General features: G+C 50.2%; 1 protein-coding gene across 18 annotated transcripts in view, besides 3 other annotated features; it reads right to left on the bottom strand.

The window, feature by feature from the left end:
- Positions 1-15,929, bottom strand: part of MED15 (mediator complex subunit 15) — an 80,010-nt gene that overhangs the window by 10,227 nt on the left and 53,854 nt on the right. For 7 of the 18 annotated variants that reach the window (XM_047441395.1, XM_047441401.1, NM_001003891.3 and 4 more), the window contains 4 exons: positions 12,705-12,943; positions 10,576-10,926; positions 8,762-8,872; positions 2,161-2,280 (listed from right to left, as the gene is read on the bottom strand). In XM_047441395.1, coding sequence (XP_047297351.1) covers positions 2,161-2,280; positions 8,762-8,872; positions 10,576-10,926; positions 12,705-12,943 — 821 coding nt within the window. Of the gene's footprint in view, positions 1-2,160; positions 5,283-6,011; positions 6,081-6,947; positions 8,413-8,761; positions 8,873-10,575; positions 10,927-12,704; positions 12,944-15,929 lie in introns of those variants that run through there. The other 11 variants (XM_047441398.1, NM_015889.5, NM_001293234.2 and 8 more) reach the window with 5 other exon arrangements.
- Positions 4,783-4,952: an enhancer, noted in NCBI's record as "experimental_62844 CRE fragment used in MPRA reporter constructs". NCBI's record gives its function as "activates a minimal promoter by MPRAs in K562 erythroleukemia cells, with activity observed for both the introgressed and non-introgressed 22:20926813 variant alleles {active_cell/tissue: K562}" and the evidence as "EXISTENCE:reporter gene assay evidence [ECO:0000049][PMID:34662402]".
- Positions 5,836-6,005: an enhancer, noted in NCBI's record as "experimental_62834 CRE fragment used in MPRA reporter constructs". NCBI's record gives its function as "activates a minimal promoter by MPRAs in K562 erythroleukemia cells, with activity observed for both the introgressed and non-introgressed 22:20925760 variant alleles {active_cell/tissue: K562}" and the evidence as "EXISTENCE:reporter gene assay evidence [ECO:0000049][PMID:34662402]".
- Positions 12,766-12,815: an enhancer, noted in NCBI's record as "active region_18682". NCBI's record gives its function as "activates an Ori minimal core promoter by ATAC-STARR-seq in GM12878 lymphoblastoid cells {active_cell/tissue: GM12878}" and the evidence as "EXISTENCE:reporter gene assay evidence [ECO:0000049][PMID:35858748]".

Below are 15,929 nucleotides of genomic sequence, written 5' to 3'. Positions count from 1 at the left end.
CTGTGAGAAGTCTAGGTGGAAACACCAGCAGCTGGGTGTGGGGAGTGGCCAGCCCACAACAGAGTATGGGCAAGCCAAAGCCCAGGACAGAGCCTGGTCTTGTGGGGGCATGGAGGGAGCCCACCCAGGAGTGCCCAGTAAACAAGAAGGAGAAGCCAGGTCATCAGCCCAGCAGGAAGGGGAGTGAGGAGTTTCCAGAAGAATCCTGCTGAGAGGCCAAGGCATAAGGGTTTCACTTGAGCCCTCGATCCTGACTTGGTGGCTCCCTGGGGGCACTCTTAGTCTGTAAAAGGGGCTAAATGCTCAAACTATGACCTGCTACAACAAGAAACAGTGAGGCTCTGTACACAAAGAGCTTAGCTCAAGGCCTGGCACATATCGCACACTGAAAACATTGGGGACTTTTTGTGTTTATAAAAATCAGTCCTACATGCTGCTACTAAAGTCATTCCTCCACATACAGCAACCCAACCTGATTCTGTGAACCCAGTGGATACTGTGCCAGAGGCTATGGGAAAGGAGGAGAAGCAGTTTTAGCAGACAAGAGTGCAGAACCCAAAGGGGTCTAGTCAAGGAGACACCAGCAGCATGTGAGCAGGTCGTGGAACTCACAGCCTCCAGGCCATGGGGAACTGCACCCTGGCTTCTGCCCACACTGGCCTCCTTTCCACCACAGCCACACAACCTAATTCCTGACCCCCAACTTCCGCTCCTCTGGAGAGCTCTTTCACCAAAGCCTTTCTACCAGCAGATTCCAGGCACTTCCTCCCGCTGTAATTCAACAACTACTAAAAAGGAAGTCCCTGCCAAAGAAACTAAGTTCCAGTCAGTAACTATGTGAATGGCACATCTGGGGTAACCCAGGGGGTTAGTATGCAGGGAAGGCAAAAGCTAAACATGCCCCAGTGGGGGCCCAGGCCACTTTCTTGGCAGTGTGTGGTGTGTGGCACCAGGCTTGGGGCCACATGGACCAAGGGCCATCCTGGCTCAGCCTCCACTTCTTCCTGTGTAGAACAGAGCTGCAGAGACGCCACTGCACAAGCCAGGGTGGTGGCAGTGCCTGCACCTGGGCGTTCAGGGATGGACAGGGACCACTGTCTGCTAGGATTATAGAGGCATTTCCCCTAAAACAGAAACTGAATTGTAAAGTTCTTTTGGCAAATTTGATGTTTTCACGACAAACCCACTAAAATGGAAAGCCTGTATGATGAGAGAACTTCAGCATAATTTTATTCTCAGAATCTTAGCATAGTGCCTGGCACACAGAATGCATGTGGTAACTATTTGTTAAAAAAATGACTATGCCATGGAGTAATTCCAAATTTCATACAATAAAAGAAGCCGGGAATTCCTGTCTCTGAAAAGCATAATGTACACAGAAGTCTACCTCTACCTAGAAAGGGGATCTGTGTTACAAATTACACACTCTACACATCAAACTCTACAACAGCATGGCCCAATACCACTTTGGCCACATTGGCCACGTTCTGGAGTCTGTGCTGTCCACTGCAGCAGCCACTAGCTTCCCTGTGGGCAAATGAGGGCTTAAAATTTATTTGGTGCGACTGAAGAACTGCATTTTTTCATTTTATTTAATTTTAGTTGACTTTTAGGTTTTTTTTTTGTTTTTAAAATATATATACATTTATATATATATTTTCCATTAAAAAATGTATATAATTAATTGGAGATAGTATGTCGCTATGTGAACCAGGCTGGTCTCAAACTCCTGGCCTCAAGTGATCCTCCCATCTCGGCCTCCTGAGGTGTTGAGATTATAGCCATAAGCCCCTGTGCCCGGCCTAATTTTAGTCAATTTAAATGTAAACAGCCACACATGCTTAGTGGCTACACTATTAGATAGCACAGCTCTAGAAAGCAAAACTTTTGCTTAGCTGCTGTTTTATTTTTACCATGAAAATGCGTACAGTATAACTATTTTAAGCTGAAAAGACCCAGATATTTATTCATATCCTCTCAACAAGCACAAGCTGGGCTTGGCTTCATTTAAAAAAAAAAAAAAAGGGACTGTGGGTTTGGCACTCTGAAAGCCACCATAAAAGAAGTCACCGGCGATGATAATGACAGGTGCGCTTTACAAAGGCGCTCAGAGGACGCCCCGAGCTCCCAGCCGTGCCCTGGGCGCTGCCCCGTAAATACCTGTGCCATGGGCTGTCTGCCCAAAGGGATGGAGCTTGACGGGATGGCGGACACAGCGGTGGTAGGCGGGAACCGGGCTCTTATGTGCATCCCACCTTGGGCCAAGGCTTCCGTGATCATCTTTGAGGACAGAGGGACAACAGACAAGGTGATCGCAACAAAGAAACTCAGTGCCTGGGCAGGTGGAGAGGGCACGTGTAGCCTCTGCAAGAAGGAGCACCAGGGCAAGGAAAGCTTGGGCAGCTCGGGGCAGCCTGGGAGGGGAGGCCACCCACATGTTCAAGCCCACAGCACCTCCAGGTCTGTCTGGGCATTGGGAATCTAGAAGATTTGCCAAGAATGCTGCTTCCAGACCTTTCTGTTCTACTGGTTGCTCTCCTGCACTGGTGTCCTCAACACACTTCTGAACACACCTCGCTAACAGATCAGAATCCTATAGCCCACAGAACCATCAGAGCCAGACCTTGAGGGCCTGAGCTGGTGTTTCTGGAGACCAGGCTCCTGGGGACAGATGTCAAGAGTACATTCCACCAAAGCCTGTGATGAGAACACTCAACTCCCACTGAACCATGAGCTCAGTTAAGCCTGCTCACAGCATCCCTCCTTCTCAGTGGCACACCTCTTACAGCCCGAACCCAAATCATCCTCCTCTCCTCCTCCAGGCCTGAGGCTGATGGTCCTGGTATCTATCAAGGAACTGGTTTTCTTTCGTAATAAAAATGGGCAAAGGTGAGCAAGAGAAGCCTGGGGGGACTGCTTGGCAGGCCTCCGCCCTGACGAGGAAGTTCATCTCCACAGGGATGCGAGTCAGGAACTCCAGCATGAGCCAGGACCATTCCCCTCATCAATGGACACTTCTTGAACTACAAAGGCAGCAGGACAGCTGAGCACTGTTGTGGGCCCGGGCCCGACCACTCTTGCTCTGGGTTCTGAGTTGGGGGTAGAGCCCGAGTCTCGTCCCTGGAGAGCAGGGCCTACAGGCACTTAGGACGGTAACAAACTAGAACAAAACACGCCAGGCTCAGAAAGAAAGGAGGACTGATCCACAGAAAAACAACACATCTCATGGTGGGAGGCTGTGCTCTGGGTCCCAAGCTCCAGGAGGTGCTGCCAGCCTTCGGTGCAGGCAGCGACAGGTGCCAGTAACAGAGCTCCAGCAGGAGAGTGGCTGCAGGGAGACCCGTGGCCTCACACACACGGCCCACATTCACAATCCTGGGCACGCACAGGAGGTGCCAGAAGCCGGGGTGACACGGCATGGCAGACGCCGACCAGAAGCTCACTCGTTCCTCCTGCAGCCAGAGCAACAGATGAACCGACCGGGGGGAGACACGAAGGAGCGACCCCAGTGGGTGAGAGTCGATTTACCACCACCTGCGGCACTTCGGAGGAGCCCGTCTGAGAGTGCAGCAGGGCTCAACGGCACTCGTTCCACAAGGGAGAAAAGCCTGGAAGTAAGTCAGATGGTATGAGAGAAGCAAACTTTTTTCCAGGAAGAGAAAAACAAACAAAAAAACGCAAGGAATGCAAAGCTTAAGTCTAATGTACTGCTGACTGATGTTCTTATAACTGAGAACTGATAAGGAAAGCCCAATTTCTTTCAACCCAAACGCACCAGTTATGTTTACTGGATCAGATGAGCCAGGCAGCTATCAACATTTCACTACTTCCCAACACACATCTACCCAGAGAGGAATCCAAAAAACCTCTCCCCCACCCCCAGGTCTGACTCTCCCTACTGCAGTCACTGTGCAGAAGGGTCCAGCAAAAAGAGAGAGGGTCCTCCAGGGTGGCCAAGGCTTCAGTACAGTAGCTGTGAATCAGCAATGCCACATACATGTCCACAATGGGAGTCTGTCTTGGATAATTCTTTGTGACTTGTAAATTAGAGTTTGGTTTTCACATACTAAAAGAATAGAACGTTAAATGACAAAGGTATAGGGACTGTTTGAAAATGAGATGCATGGCCAGGCACAGTGGCTTACGCCTGTAATTCCAGCACTTTGGGAGGCCAAAGCGGGCACATCTCTTAAGGCGAGGAGTTCAAGACCAGCCTGGCCAACATGACAAAACCCCGTCTCTACTAAAAATACAAAATTAGCCAGGCATGGTGGCACATGCCTGTAATCCCAGGTACTTGGGAGGCTGAGGCAGGAGAATCCCTTGAACCCAGGAGGTGGAGACTGCAGTGAGCTGAGACTGTACCATTGCACTCCAGCCTGGGTGACAGAGCAAGAGACTCTGTCTTTAAAAAAAAAAAAAAAAAGAAAATGAGATGCATTCTGTCCTGTTTCTTGCTTTTTTAAAGAGACAAGAGTTTTGCTCTGTCTCCCAGGCTAGAGTGTAATGCTGTCATCACAGCTCACTGCAGCCTCAAACCCCTGGGCTTGCACGATCCTCCCAACTCGGCCTCCCGAGTAGCAGGGACTGCAGACACGCACCACTCCGCCCAGCTAACTTTTTATTTTTATTTTTTTGTAGAGACAGGGTCTCGCTGTGTTGCCCAGGATAGTTTTGAACTCCTGGTCTCAAGTGATCCTCTCACCTTGGCTTCCCAAAACGTTGGGATTACAGGCATGAGCCACTGTGCCTGCATGTCTTGGTTTTATAGGGGAGAAAAAGAAGTCTGCTGTGTCCTGCTAAATCCCCTTGTGGGTGACATTGCCCTTCTCAGCTACATAAATAACACTGGAAAGAGAACCAGGTGTGCACAGCACAAGGCTGAGCAATTTTTCTAGAATACTCAGTCCCAGGCTACCCTTTACCACATCCAACACCACAGTACTGCAAGGGCCTGACAGGGCGCCTCTCTTCGGCTCTAAGATGGGCTTGAGAGACAGGGCATGGAGGGCTGCCTGCATGGGGGCCCCCAATCCCAGAATTTCATTCATGAACTCAAGAGGCCTGTTTCCGCAGCACGCGGCAGCTCATACATACAAAGCTGCAACACGTGGTCACCACGTCCTGATGTCCACTGTGTGAACAACACAAGGGGAGCTCCAATCTGCATCTCTGACCTCCTGGTTAGAGGGTGGCTGATCAGATCTGAAGGCCCTCAAAGTGAACCATTCACTCACCTCCATCAGCTCCAGGAACAATCTAAGACATCAAGATATGTGTCACTGGTAATAGCAAAAAATCGGAAATTATTACAAGGTCCAAGAACAAGATGGTAACTGAGGATGGCAAGAGACATTCACAGAGGGGTATGACAAGAGTTCCTTCGTGCCGACCAGGGCTTTCTAATTAAAGGAGAACATTTCATCCCCTATTGATGTGGAAGATGCTGCACAAAAAACCCCAGGATAGCATGACCTTGACTATGGGAAACAACCAGAAAGGACACCAGACCTTCTCTCTCATGGAATGGTTCTCTTACTTCTGTTCCTCTCCACTTTCTGGGTTCTACAGTTACCACACATACTTTTAAAGTTTTTAGATCAGAGTACCGTAGCCTCAGCTGGTCACTGTGCCAATTCAAGTTTCAAAAGAAGATCATGAATCCAGATGGCCCCTCAGAGGGCTTGCTGTGCCCAACCCTCCCCATCCCCCAGCAGGGGGCGCTGCTATTGGTGGAACAAGGCAGTGAGGGTGCCCAATTAGCCCCCAAGAAACTGCACTGCTTGCAACAAGGCAAGACCAAGCTCTGAGAGAAAACCAGCAGAATGCGGGTTACAGAATTTCAAGGTGCCACATCTGGACTGAGAAGCACCTCATAGATACGCCCTACCCACTGCTGGACTTTGAGAAACTACAAGGCTCCTCTGCCACTAGCACTTGGGAATCCCCTGCATGGCAGCACATGGTGCCACAGGGCAGGTGGGCAATGATCCTTAAAACATCAAACTCACTCAGCAACGAACCACAGTGGTAACCACTCTCCATCCTCCTTCCTGTGCCAGTCGGGCGGGGACCTCCACCTGAAACAAGGGGTGGAGAAACCGACAGGAAGACCAGTGGCCCAAGGACAGGCTCAGCATGGGCCATGAGCACACACAGCTGGCATCCTGCTTCTGGACGGTGATGGGATGCCAGTGAGACTGCAGAGTGGACACTTCCTTGAGCTAGAAGCCTAACGAACATACCAGCTGGGCCTGCACCAGCTGAAAACACTGGCTGCTCCATGGCTATTCACTTTCCAAATACCAAGAAATGGAAAGAAAAGGAAAGTTCGGCTGGGCACAGTGGCTCACGCCTGTAATCCCAACACTTAGGGAGGCTGAGGCAGGTGGATCACTTGAAGTCAGGAGCTTAAGACCAGCCTGGCCCATCTCTACTAAAAATACAAGAGGAAAAAAAAATTAGCTGGATATAGTGGCGCATGCCTGTAGTCCCAGCTACTTGGGAGCAAAGGCAGGACAATCACTTGAACCTGGGAGACAGAGGTTGCAGTGAGCCAAGATTGCACCACTGCACTCCAGCCACTCTAGCCTAGGTGAGAGAGCAAGACTCTGTCAAAAAAAAAAAAAAAAAAAAAAAAAAAAAAGAAAGAAAGAAAGAAAGAAAAGAAAAGAGAAAAAAGAGAAGAGAAGAGAAGTTCTAGGCTGGGTGCGATGGCTCATGCCTATAATCCCAGCACTTTGGGAGGCTGAGGCGGGTGAATCACTTGAGGTCAGGAGTTCGAACCAGCCTGGCCAACATGGTGAAACCCTATCTCTACTAAAAATACAAAAATTAGCCAGGTGTGGTGGTGTGCAACTGTAGTCCCAGCTACTTGGGAGGCTGAGGCACAAGAATCGCCTGAACCCAGGAGGCAGAAGTTGCAGTGAGCCGAGATCGCAAAACTGCAATCCAGCCTGGATGACAGAGTCAGACTCTGTCTCAAAAAAAAAAAAAAAAGACAGAAAGAAATAAAGAAAAGAGCAGTTCTCACTTTCCTGCTGGGCTTGACCTGCGGTACAGAAGTTTCCAGCCGGGCGCATTGGCTCATGCCTGTAATCTCAGCACTTTGGGAGGCCAAGGCCGGCAGATCACGAGGTCAAGAGATGGAGACCATCCTGGCCAACATGATGAAACCATGTCTCTACTAAAAATACAAAAATTAGCCAGGTGTGATGGCACGCGCCTGTAGTTCCAGCTACTCGGGAACCTGAGGCAGGAGAATCACTTGAACCCAGGAGGCAGAGGTTGCAGTGAGCCAAGATCGTGCCACTGTACTCCAGCCTGGCAACAGAGCAAGACTCCATCTCAAAAAATAAAAAAAGTTTCCAGGAAGTGAGGTCCTGAACAGAGGATCGATGGTCCAAAGAGGCAAAGGTAGCAGCTTCCACTGGGTGGGCAGTCACTATGTGCCACCACTAAGCTGACTCTGAACACACCACGTCCTTCCTCTGCATGAGACCAGGACAAGGGAGCCCCCCCACGAGGCCTGAGGACATGCCGAGACACACAGGGAGGTGGCAGAGACCTCCAACCTCATCACACGAAGTGGTCAGCCTCCCCCAGCTGTAAGTAAATGTGAGTTCTGTGGTGTGTTTCATACAGGGCTCCATCTAAGTAAGAATGTGACATGGGGACCCTGGCCCCAAGTCATTTGGTGCCCTGCCAAGGTAGGATGCTAACCTCAGCTGCAGCCAAATACCTCAGATTCCCTCCTCAGGCAGCTTCCCAGGGACTTAAAAGAGGTAGCAGGCACCATGAAGGACATTACTGAGCACCCCCCAAGCGTGAGATGAAGCCTGCCACGAGGCACTGTGCACCCAGGCGCTGCGCCCAGCAGGCCTGCAGAAAACCACAAGGCCAGGTACCCTTAAGACGACAGCAAAGTGCAGGCGCACTGCCAGCTGTGGGCTGGGACCCAGCCACAGTCTTACCACATCAACTAGCACATTCTGACTCTTTCTAAAGCCAACGCCCCTTCCGAGTCAGGACCAACAGTGTTTCCACCATCATGTGAAAAGAGGAAAAACTGAAGCCCCAGACTGTACGTCTCCCCACAAGAAGGAGAGGAGGGGTTATAGGAAAAGGTACAGAAACCCTGGGCCTCCAATCCCAGGACACTAGGAGGCCAGACAAGGCCATCTGCATTCCACTAACACGTGACACACAGAGACACACACACATTCCACACATGTGACACACCAGCAAGCTCAGCAATGTGGGAGTGGCACGCTTCTCACCACACAGCGCCGGAGTCCCTGAGTGCAGGCGAGCACCAGGATGCCTTCTCCCACGCTCCTGCTGCATGTGGCTCCCATCTGCTTCCGAGTGTCTAGAAAGCTGCCCTCCACCCTGGTCAGCTCTGTACTCAGACTCTCAAATGGAAGATGAGAGGTGAGGAGAAAACTGCAGCCTTCTACTCTCTGATACATGTTCCCAGAGTCACTCAGAGTGGCAAGGAAGAGGGATAATGAAGGATGCCCGAGCAAAGCTGGAAACGACACGCACTATGCGGCTGGTGGGTCCTAGACATGACCAAGCACAGCTGCCCACCCCAAGGACTCCAGGGGTGTCTTGCAGAGTGCAAGGGGGAGAGAAGCCCCTGCTTTACCAACTTAGCCCCCAGCCCCTAATCCAACCAGAACCCTCACTGTAGCACTACATGCGCAGGTGAACATGCACCTGCTGATGACTATGGAGCCCTCCACCCCCAGGCCCTCACCTGGACTCCGGGAGCCACCATCTGGGCAGCCTGAGCTGTCTGTACTGCTGTCTGCTGCTGCTGCACCTGGGGCTGCACTGGGGGCTGCTGCACCACCATCGGAGCTCGGACCTTGAGGGAGAAAGAGAGAATGTGATTTGGAACCACCTGGGTCAGAGAGCAGAGCCTAGTCTTCCTGTGGAAGCTTAGGAAATGGAGCCTTTCTTGAGGTGAGGAATGGGACTTTCATGACCTCATGTGCTGTGATGTCACCTTACTGGCCATCTAGGATCCCATTAGCTCAAATCCAATTCTGGCAAGTGGCAATGTGGCCCTCCCACTGGGATGTCTCCACACATCCCTCAGCACCAGCTATCACAAGCACTGACGACTTCCAATGCAGAGCTTACAGCCTAGCCTGCTCATCCTCTGGGCCAAGCATGCTGATGGTCCACAAGAGCTTCACTCAGCCTGATTCCTTGAAGGAAAGCTGGGTTAGCCGGCCAGCAGAGGGCAGGGCGTAGTAGCTCCTGTCTGTATTCTCAGCATTCTGGGAGGCCAAGGCCAGTGGATCGCTTAAGCCCAGGAGATCAAGACTAGCCTGGGCAACACGGCCAAACCCCATATCTACAAAATATACAAAAATTTGGCTAGGTGTGGGGATGCACACCTGCAGCCCCAGCTACTTGGGAGGCTGAGGTGGGAGAATCGCTTGAGCAGGGAGGTCTGATCACATCAGTGCACTCCAGCCTGGAAAACAGAGACCCTGTCTTCAAAAGAAAAAAGTGGGGGTGGGGGGCAAACTTGGGCAAAAGGGGCAACTGTGGAGCCACTGCATGGAGGGGCCTCCAGAAGGACGAGACAGGCCCGCGCCACCATGCAGGGGGCTCTTCCTTAGACATCTCCAAGTCACCAGGGCAAACCCTGCCAGGGCACATTCCAACATGCAGCGGGCTCTTCCTTAGACATCTCCAAGCCACTAGGGCAAACCCTGCCAGGGCACATTCCACCATGCAGCACACAAGGGTTTCAGTCTGCACAGTCCCCGGGGTCAGGCAGTGTGTCGACTCCCAGGTGACAGATGAGTGAGCATATCTGCTCCTCACAACTCTCCTAGACTTCCAGTCTGCCTATGAGGCCTCTTGTTCACCCCCACACTTGCCTCAGGCCCCATTCCACTCATGAATCACAAACAGAAAAGGCCACAAAAACCAAGGGAGCCAAAGAGTTGTCCAAATGGCCCCTTGATGCAGCTACCTTCATCCTGGTGATCATACTCTGTCCTCTGTGCCTGTCACTGAGTAGACTGGCTTTGTGCAGAGATACAAAATGAAACTAGGAATAACAGTATTTTATATTAATACTCCTCTCAAAAATATAGTAATGAACTTTGTTCTCCTGAGACTTGGCAGAGTGTAAAGGAAAAAAAAAGATATTTGCTTAGAACATTAACTCTGAGTAGTTGGCAAACCACCAGACACTGACGGAGCTGGCACATCCTTTCATGTGGTGCTCATCAGTCGAAGTGCTCACACCCTGAAAGGGCCCACAGAACTGCTGCAATCAGCCACACTGCTTGGAATGCGACTTGGTGCCCCAGTAGCAGCAGCAGTACCCTGTGCGGGGTGCAGAAGCAGCTCTCAGAACACAAAATGCAAAACACATGCTTCCCTGCTGAGCCATGCTAGAGTCGGCAGGGCTGGCAAGGGGTGGGGGCTGCCTGAAGTCTCAGCACTTGAAGAATAGGATATGCTATCTCTAGCCAAAGAGCCTAGAAACTACTGCTGACAGAGCCACGGGCTGCATGTGCTCCACTGTGGGCCACAGGTACTCACAAATTTCAGTGGTGGTTGGGTATACAACATTTGTCCAGGGAGAGCTTGCGCCTGTGACACCAAAGGCTGGGTCTGCGACTGTGGCGGGAGTTGTGATGGTTGGTTCTGAGCAACTGGAGGCTGCTGGGGCTGTGGTGGCGGCTGGTGGTGCTGTGTGTGATGCATCTGCTGCAGCTGCTGGGGCAGAGCCTGGGAGGGCGGAGGCTGTGGCTGCTGCATCGGTGGCTGCTGAATTGGTGGCTGGGCCTGCAAAGCCTGCTGCTGCTGCTGCTGCTGCTGCTGCTGCTGCTGTTGCTGTTGTTGGAGCTGCAGCTGTGCTATTCGCTGCAGCTGCTGTTGCTGCTGCTGTATCTAGAGACAGAACAAGCAGCACTCGGTTATCACTCATCTGCCTCTGTGGCACCAGCTCCTCCCTGTGACAGTCTGGGCCTCAGGAAGCCCAGGTGGCCATCTGCAGAGCCATCAAGAAAGCCTTCCTGGCTGGGTGCAGTGGCTCACGCCTGTAATCCCAGCACTTTGGGAGGCCGAGGCGGGCAGATCACCTGAGGTCAGGAGTTCGAGACCAGCCTGGACAACCTGGCGAAACCCCGTCTCTACTAATAATACAAAAATTAGCCAGGCATGGTGGCTCACACCTGTAATCCCAGCTACTTGGGAGGCTGAGGCAGGAGAATCACTTAAACTGGTGGGGCAGAGGTTGCAGTGAGCCGAGATCACACCACTGCACTCCAGCCTGGGCAACAGAGTAAGAGGCAAAAAAAAGTCTCAAAAAAAAAAAAAAAAAAAAGGCCTTCCTGGGCTGACAGGCTGACCTCTCACTCACACGGGGAGGGGCACATCTCCCACAGAAAGGCTCTGGGCCCCCCGAGGCCAACACCAGCTGCCTTCCTGACACCGGGGAGGCACCAAGTGTGTGCCTGGGCTCTGGTCTACCATTCCACTAGGATGGTTCAAAGGGCATACCTAGAAACTTCAGCAAAAGATGACAAGGAATAGGTACAGCTCCATGGAAGCTAGGATAAAAGCTGGGGCAACTGCAGATTTCTGAAGCCTCTGCAACGATGCTTGCTTTGCCCCTATAGGTCAGTGGCATGAGCCTCACGGTGACGGTCAAGGTCTGCTTGTCAGCAGGAGAAGGAAAAGTGTGGCTGCAGATGCACTGTCAGCTCTGGGAGAGGGGTGCCAAGATCCAGAGAAGCCCAGCTAGCTGAGGCCTGAAGGGGTGGGAGGGTGGTGGGGCCCTTTGGGGCTTTCCTCTCCCAACCAAGACCTGCTGTGAGGGCAGATGTTTAACACGTCTAGACTCTCTATGGAAACCATGGGAAGCTGAACAACTTCTGAGAAGCAGTGCTGCTAACATGACATCACCATCACCTCATGCAACACCAGCTGGAGGTCGACTAACACTGAGCCCAGAACCCAAGACACAGAGGTAAACAGGAGGCACATGTGTCCTCAGCCAAAATGGCCCACAATGGCTCAAGTAGTCCCAAGCCTCAGAGTGTTCGTCTCACTTCTTGCTTCAGCTCACTCTTGTTTGAATCCCTCGCAGCCCCTGAACTACACAGGAGGCCCACCGCCAGATGCCCAAGCCCAAATGGAAGGGCTCGATCACAGAACCTTCCTAGTGAGTCAGGGCCTGTTTCTCCTGCCTGTCCCAGACTTTTGTTTTCCTTTTTTATTTTTATTTTTTTTGAGACGGAGTCTCACTGCTGCCCAGGCTGGAGCGCAGCGGCGCGATCTCGGCTCACTGCAACCTCCGCCTCCCAGGTTCTAGCGATTCTCCTGCCTCAGCCTCTCAAATAGCTGGGATTATAGGTGTACGCCACCATGTCCAGCTAATTTTTTGTATTTTTAGTAGAGATGGGGTTTCACCATGCTGGCCAGGCTGGTCTTGAACTCCTGATGATCCGCCTGCCTTGGCCTCCCAAAGTGCTGGGATTACAGGCATGAGCCACTGGGCCCGGCCTTGTCCCAGACTTTTTGAGAAGCCCATGGAAAAGGGCAGGCACACGTGTCAAGAGAACCCTCGGCTGGCTCCGGGCACTGCACCCAGCATTGTGGCTGATGCCAGCCCAGGGCTCACGCTGCAGGAGGGAGGCCAAGAGCAGGAACAGGGGACCTGGTACCTGTTGCTGATTTTGATGATGCAATTTAATTAGATGCTGCTGCTGCTGCTGCTGCTGCTGGAGCTGCTGCTGCTGCTGCACTACTGCTTGGAACTGCTGCTGCATGGCACTCTGCTGAGCCTGGAACTGCTGCTGTTGCTGCTGCTGCTGCTGCTGCTGTAGCGCCGCCTGCTGCTGCTGCTGGAACTGCTGCTGTTGCTGCTGCTGCTGCAGCGCCACCTGCTGGAGCTGCAGCTGGGCTGAGAAAAGACCAGAGTCGCCAGTCAGTCCACAGGGCAGATTCCCAGAAACGCTGCAGGGCTGCACAGCAAGGGACAAAACAGCCAGCAAAAGCCCCACTGCCACGGCTGCCGCTGGAATCTGAACGTTCCATTTACCACAGACAGAAAGATAGAATACGAAGTAGCATTTGTGTTGATTTTGGGATTTCCTATCATGAGTTACTCTATAATAACCAAAGACAAAAGAAAAGGGACAACTAAGTCTTTTGGATAAATAAGAAGCCTAGACTCTGGCAATCAGTAATCTCCTCTCTGTCTCTATGGATTGGCCACTTCCGGACTCTTTGTACGAATGGCATCGAACATGTGCTCTTTTGTGACTAGCTTCTTTAGCATAATATTTACGAGTTCGCCCATGTCGTGGCATGTTATCAGTTTTTCTGTGTTATTTTTATCGCCAAATAATATTCTACTACACCGATTTCCTGTGATGAACATTTGCGCTGCTTCTACTTTGTGGCTATTATGAAAACTGCTTATATGAACAGTCAATTACAAGATTTTCTGAGGTGAGGTTTCTTTTGGGGTGAACATAAAAATGTTCTAAAATTGTGCTGATGGCTGCACAACTCTGTGGATTACACTAAAACCTACCGAGTGGAGCACTTCAGATGGGTGAATTGTATGCTAATGAGAATTATGTCTCAATAAAGCTGTATTAAAGAAATATAGAGAGATCCTTTGTATACTTTGCCCAGTTTCCTCCAATGGTAACATTCTACAAACTTACAAGGTATCACAACCACGATGTGTGCTCACTTGTGTGGGTGTGTGTACTAAGTTCTGGACAATTTAACCACCTGGGTGGGTTCAGTCACCACCAGTCAATACACTACACAGTCCCCACACCACAAGGATCCCTCGTGTTGCCACCTCTCTCAGCAACCCTGACCCGCAAACTCTGGCAACCACTGCAGCATCCTCCATTTCTAAAATTTTGTCATTTCAAAATTATACATAATATTTCAAAAATGGAACCATACAGTATGAACCTTTTTGGGATCGGCTTTTTACATTCAGCATACAGGTTGTAGTTCTAGCAACAGTACTGCCAGGGTATTCCATGGTACAAGCACCTCACAGTGTGTTTAACCGTCTACATGAAGGACATTTGGGTAACTGTAGATTTGGGCTACCACAAATAAAGCTGCTGTTAAAATTCGTGCATGGGTTTTTATGCGAGGTTTTCATTTCTCTAGGAAAAATACCCAAGAGTGTAACTGCTGAGTTGCATATTTCATTTTGAAAGAAGGTAAAACCACTTTACATTCTCACCAGCAATATATGAGTGATTCAGTTTCTCTGTCACCAACACTTGAGGCTGTCACTATTCATTTTAGCAATTCTGATGGGTGTAAGATTTTTTTTTTTTGAGGTGGGGTCTCACTCTGTTGCCCAGTCTGGACTGAAGTGGTACCATCGTGGCTCACTGCACCCTTGACCTCCTGGGCTTAAGTGACCCTCCTGCCTCAGCCTCCCGAGTAGCTGGAACTACAGGTGCATGCCACCACACCCAACTAATTTGTAAAATTTTTATAGAGACAGTCTCACTTTGTTGCCCAGGCTGATCTCAAACTCCTGGGTTCAAGTGATCCTCCTGCCTCGACCTCACAAAGTGTTGAGATTATAGGCGTGGGTCACTGTGCCTGGCCAAGTGTAAAAAATTTTTAATTTATTTTGTGACAGATTTCTAACTTTATTTGACATTCATAAAACATGTATGACCGGCGGGTCGCGGTGGTTCTCACCTCTAATCCCAGCACTTCGGGAGGCTCAGGCAGGAGGATCACTTGAGGTCGAGTTTGAGACCAGCTTGGCCAACATGGCAAAAACCCATCTCTACTAAAAATACAAAAATTAGCGGGCATGGTGGCACGTGCCTGTAATCCCAGCTACTCAGGAGGCTGAGGCAGGAGAATTGCTTGAACCCGGGAGGCAGAGGTTGCAGTGAGCCGAGATCGCGCCACTGCACTCCAGCCTGGGTGACAGAGTGAGACTCTGTCTCAAAACAACAACAACAAAAAGTATGACAATACTTTTAAATTTTCTGAAATTGTTGAAGCTTGCTTTATGATTTATTTTTATAAACATATTGTTCCATCATATGCTTAAATTAAGTTGTTCATTACATTGTTCAAATTTTCTGTAAATGAATTTTTTGGTCTGTTTATCAATAACAAAGAGATGTAATTGAAGTAATTGCCCAATACATCTTTCTTCATCCTTTTTTTTGTTTGTTTCTTTTTTGAGACGGGATTTTGCTCTGTCACCCAGGCTGGAATGCAGTGTCTCCATCGTGGCTCATTGCAGACTCAGCGTTCCAGGCTCAAGCAAGCGATCCTCTCACCTCAGCCTCACAAGTAGATGGGACTACAGGTGTGTACCACCACACTCAGCTAATTTTATTGACTGATTGATTGAGATTGGGTCTCACTGCAGCCCAGGCTGGAATGCAATAGTGCAATCATGGCTCACTGCAGCCTTGACCTCCTGGGCTCAAGTGATCCTCTTACCTCAGCATCTCAAGTGTACCTACAGGTAATTTTTAAATTTTATGTAGAGATGGGGGTCTCCTATTTTGCCGAGGTTGGTCTTGAACTCCTGGGCTCAAGTGATCCTCCCACCTCAGCTTCTCCAAGTGCTGGGATTACAGACGTGAGCCACTGCACTTGGCCTTTCTTCATCTTTTATTTTTAAATCCTTCCGCATGTTTTATTGTAGGTGTGTGTTTCTTCTAACAATAAAACAACTGTGCTGTTTCATTTCCATTTGTTCTCACATTTCCTATCTTTCAGCAGAAAAGTTTAGTCCACTCACATTTATTATGATTACTTATATTTTTAAACTTATTTTCTATTAATATTTGTCTTTCCTTTCCTTTTTTTTTTTGAGATGGAATCTCACTCTGTCGCCAGACTGGAGTGCAGTGGCGTGATCTCGGTTC

This window comes from Homo sapiens, chromosome 22, assembly GCF_000001405.40.
Source record: "Homo sapiens chromosome 22, GRCh38.p14 Primary Assembly".
In the NCBI taxonomy this organism is placed as follows: domain Eukaryota; kingdom Metazoa; phylum Chordata; class Mammalia; order Primates; family Hominidae; genus Homo; species Homo sapiens.
Note: the sequence above shows the minus strand (reverse complement) of the source record. Positions and strands in the feature narration are given on the sequence as shown.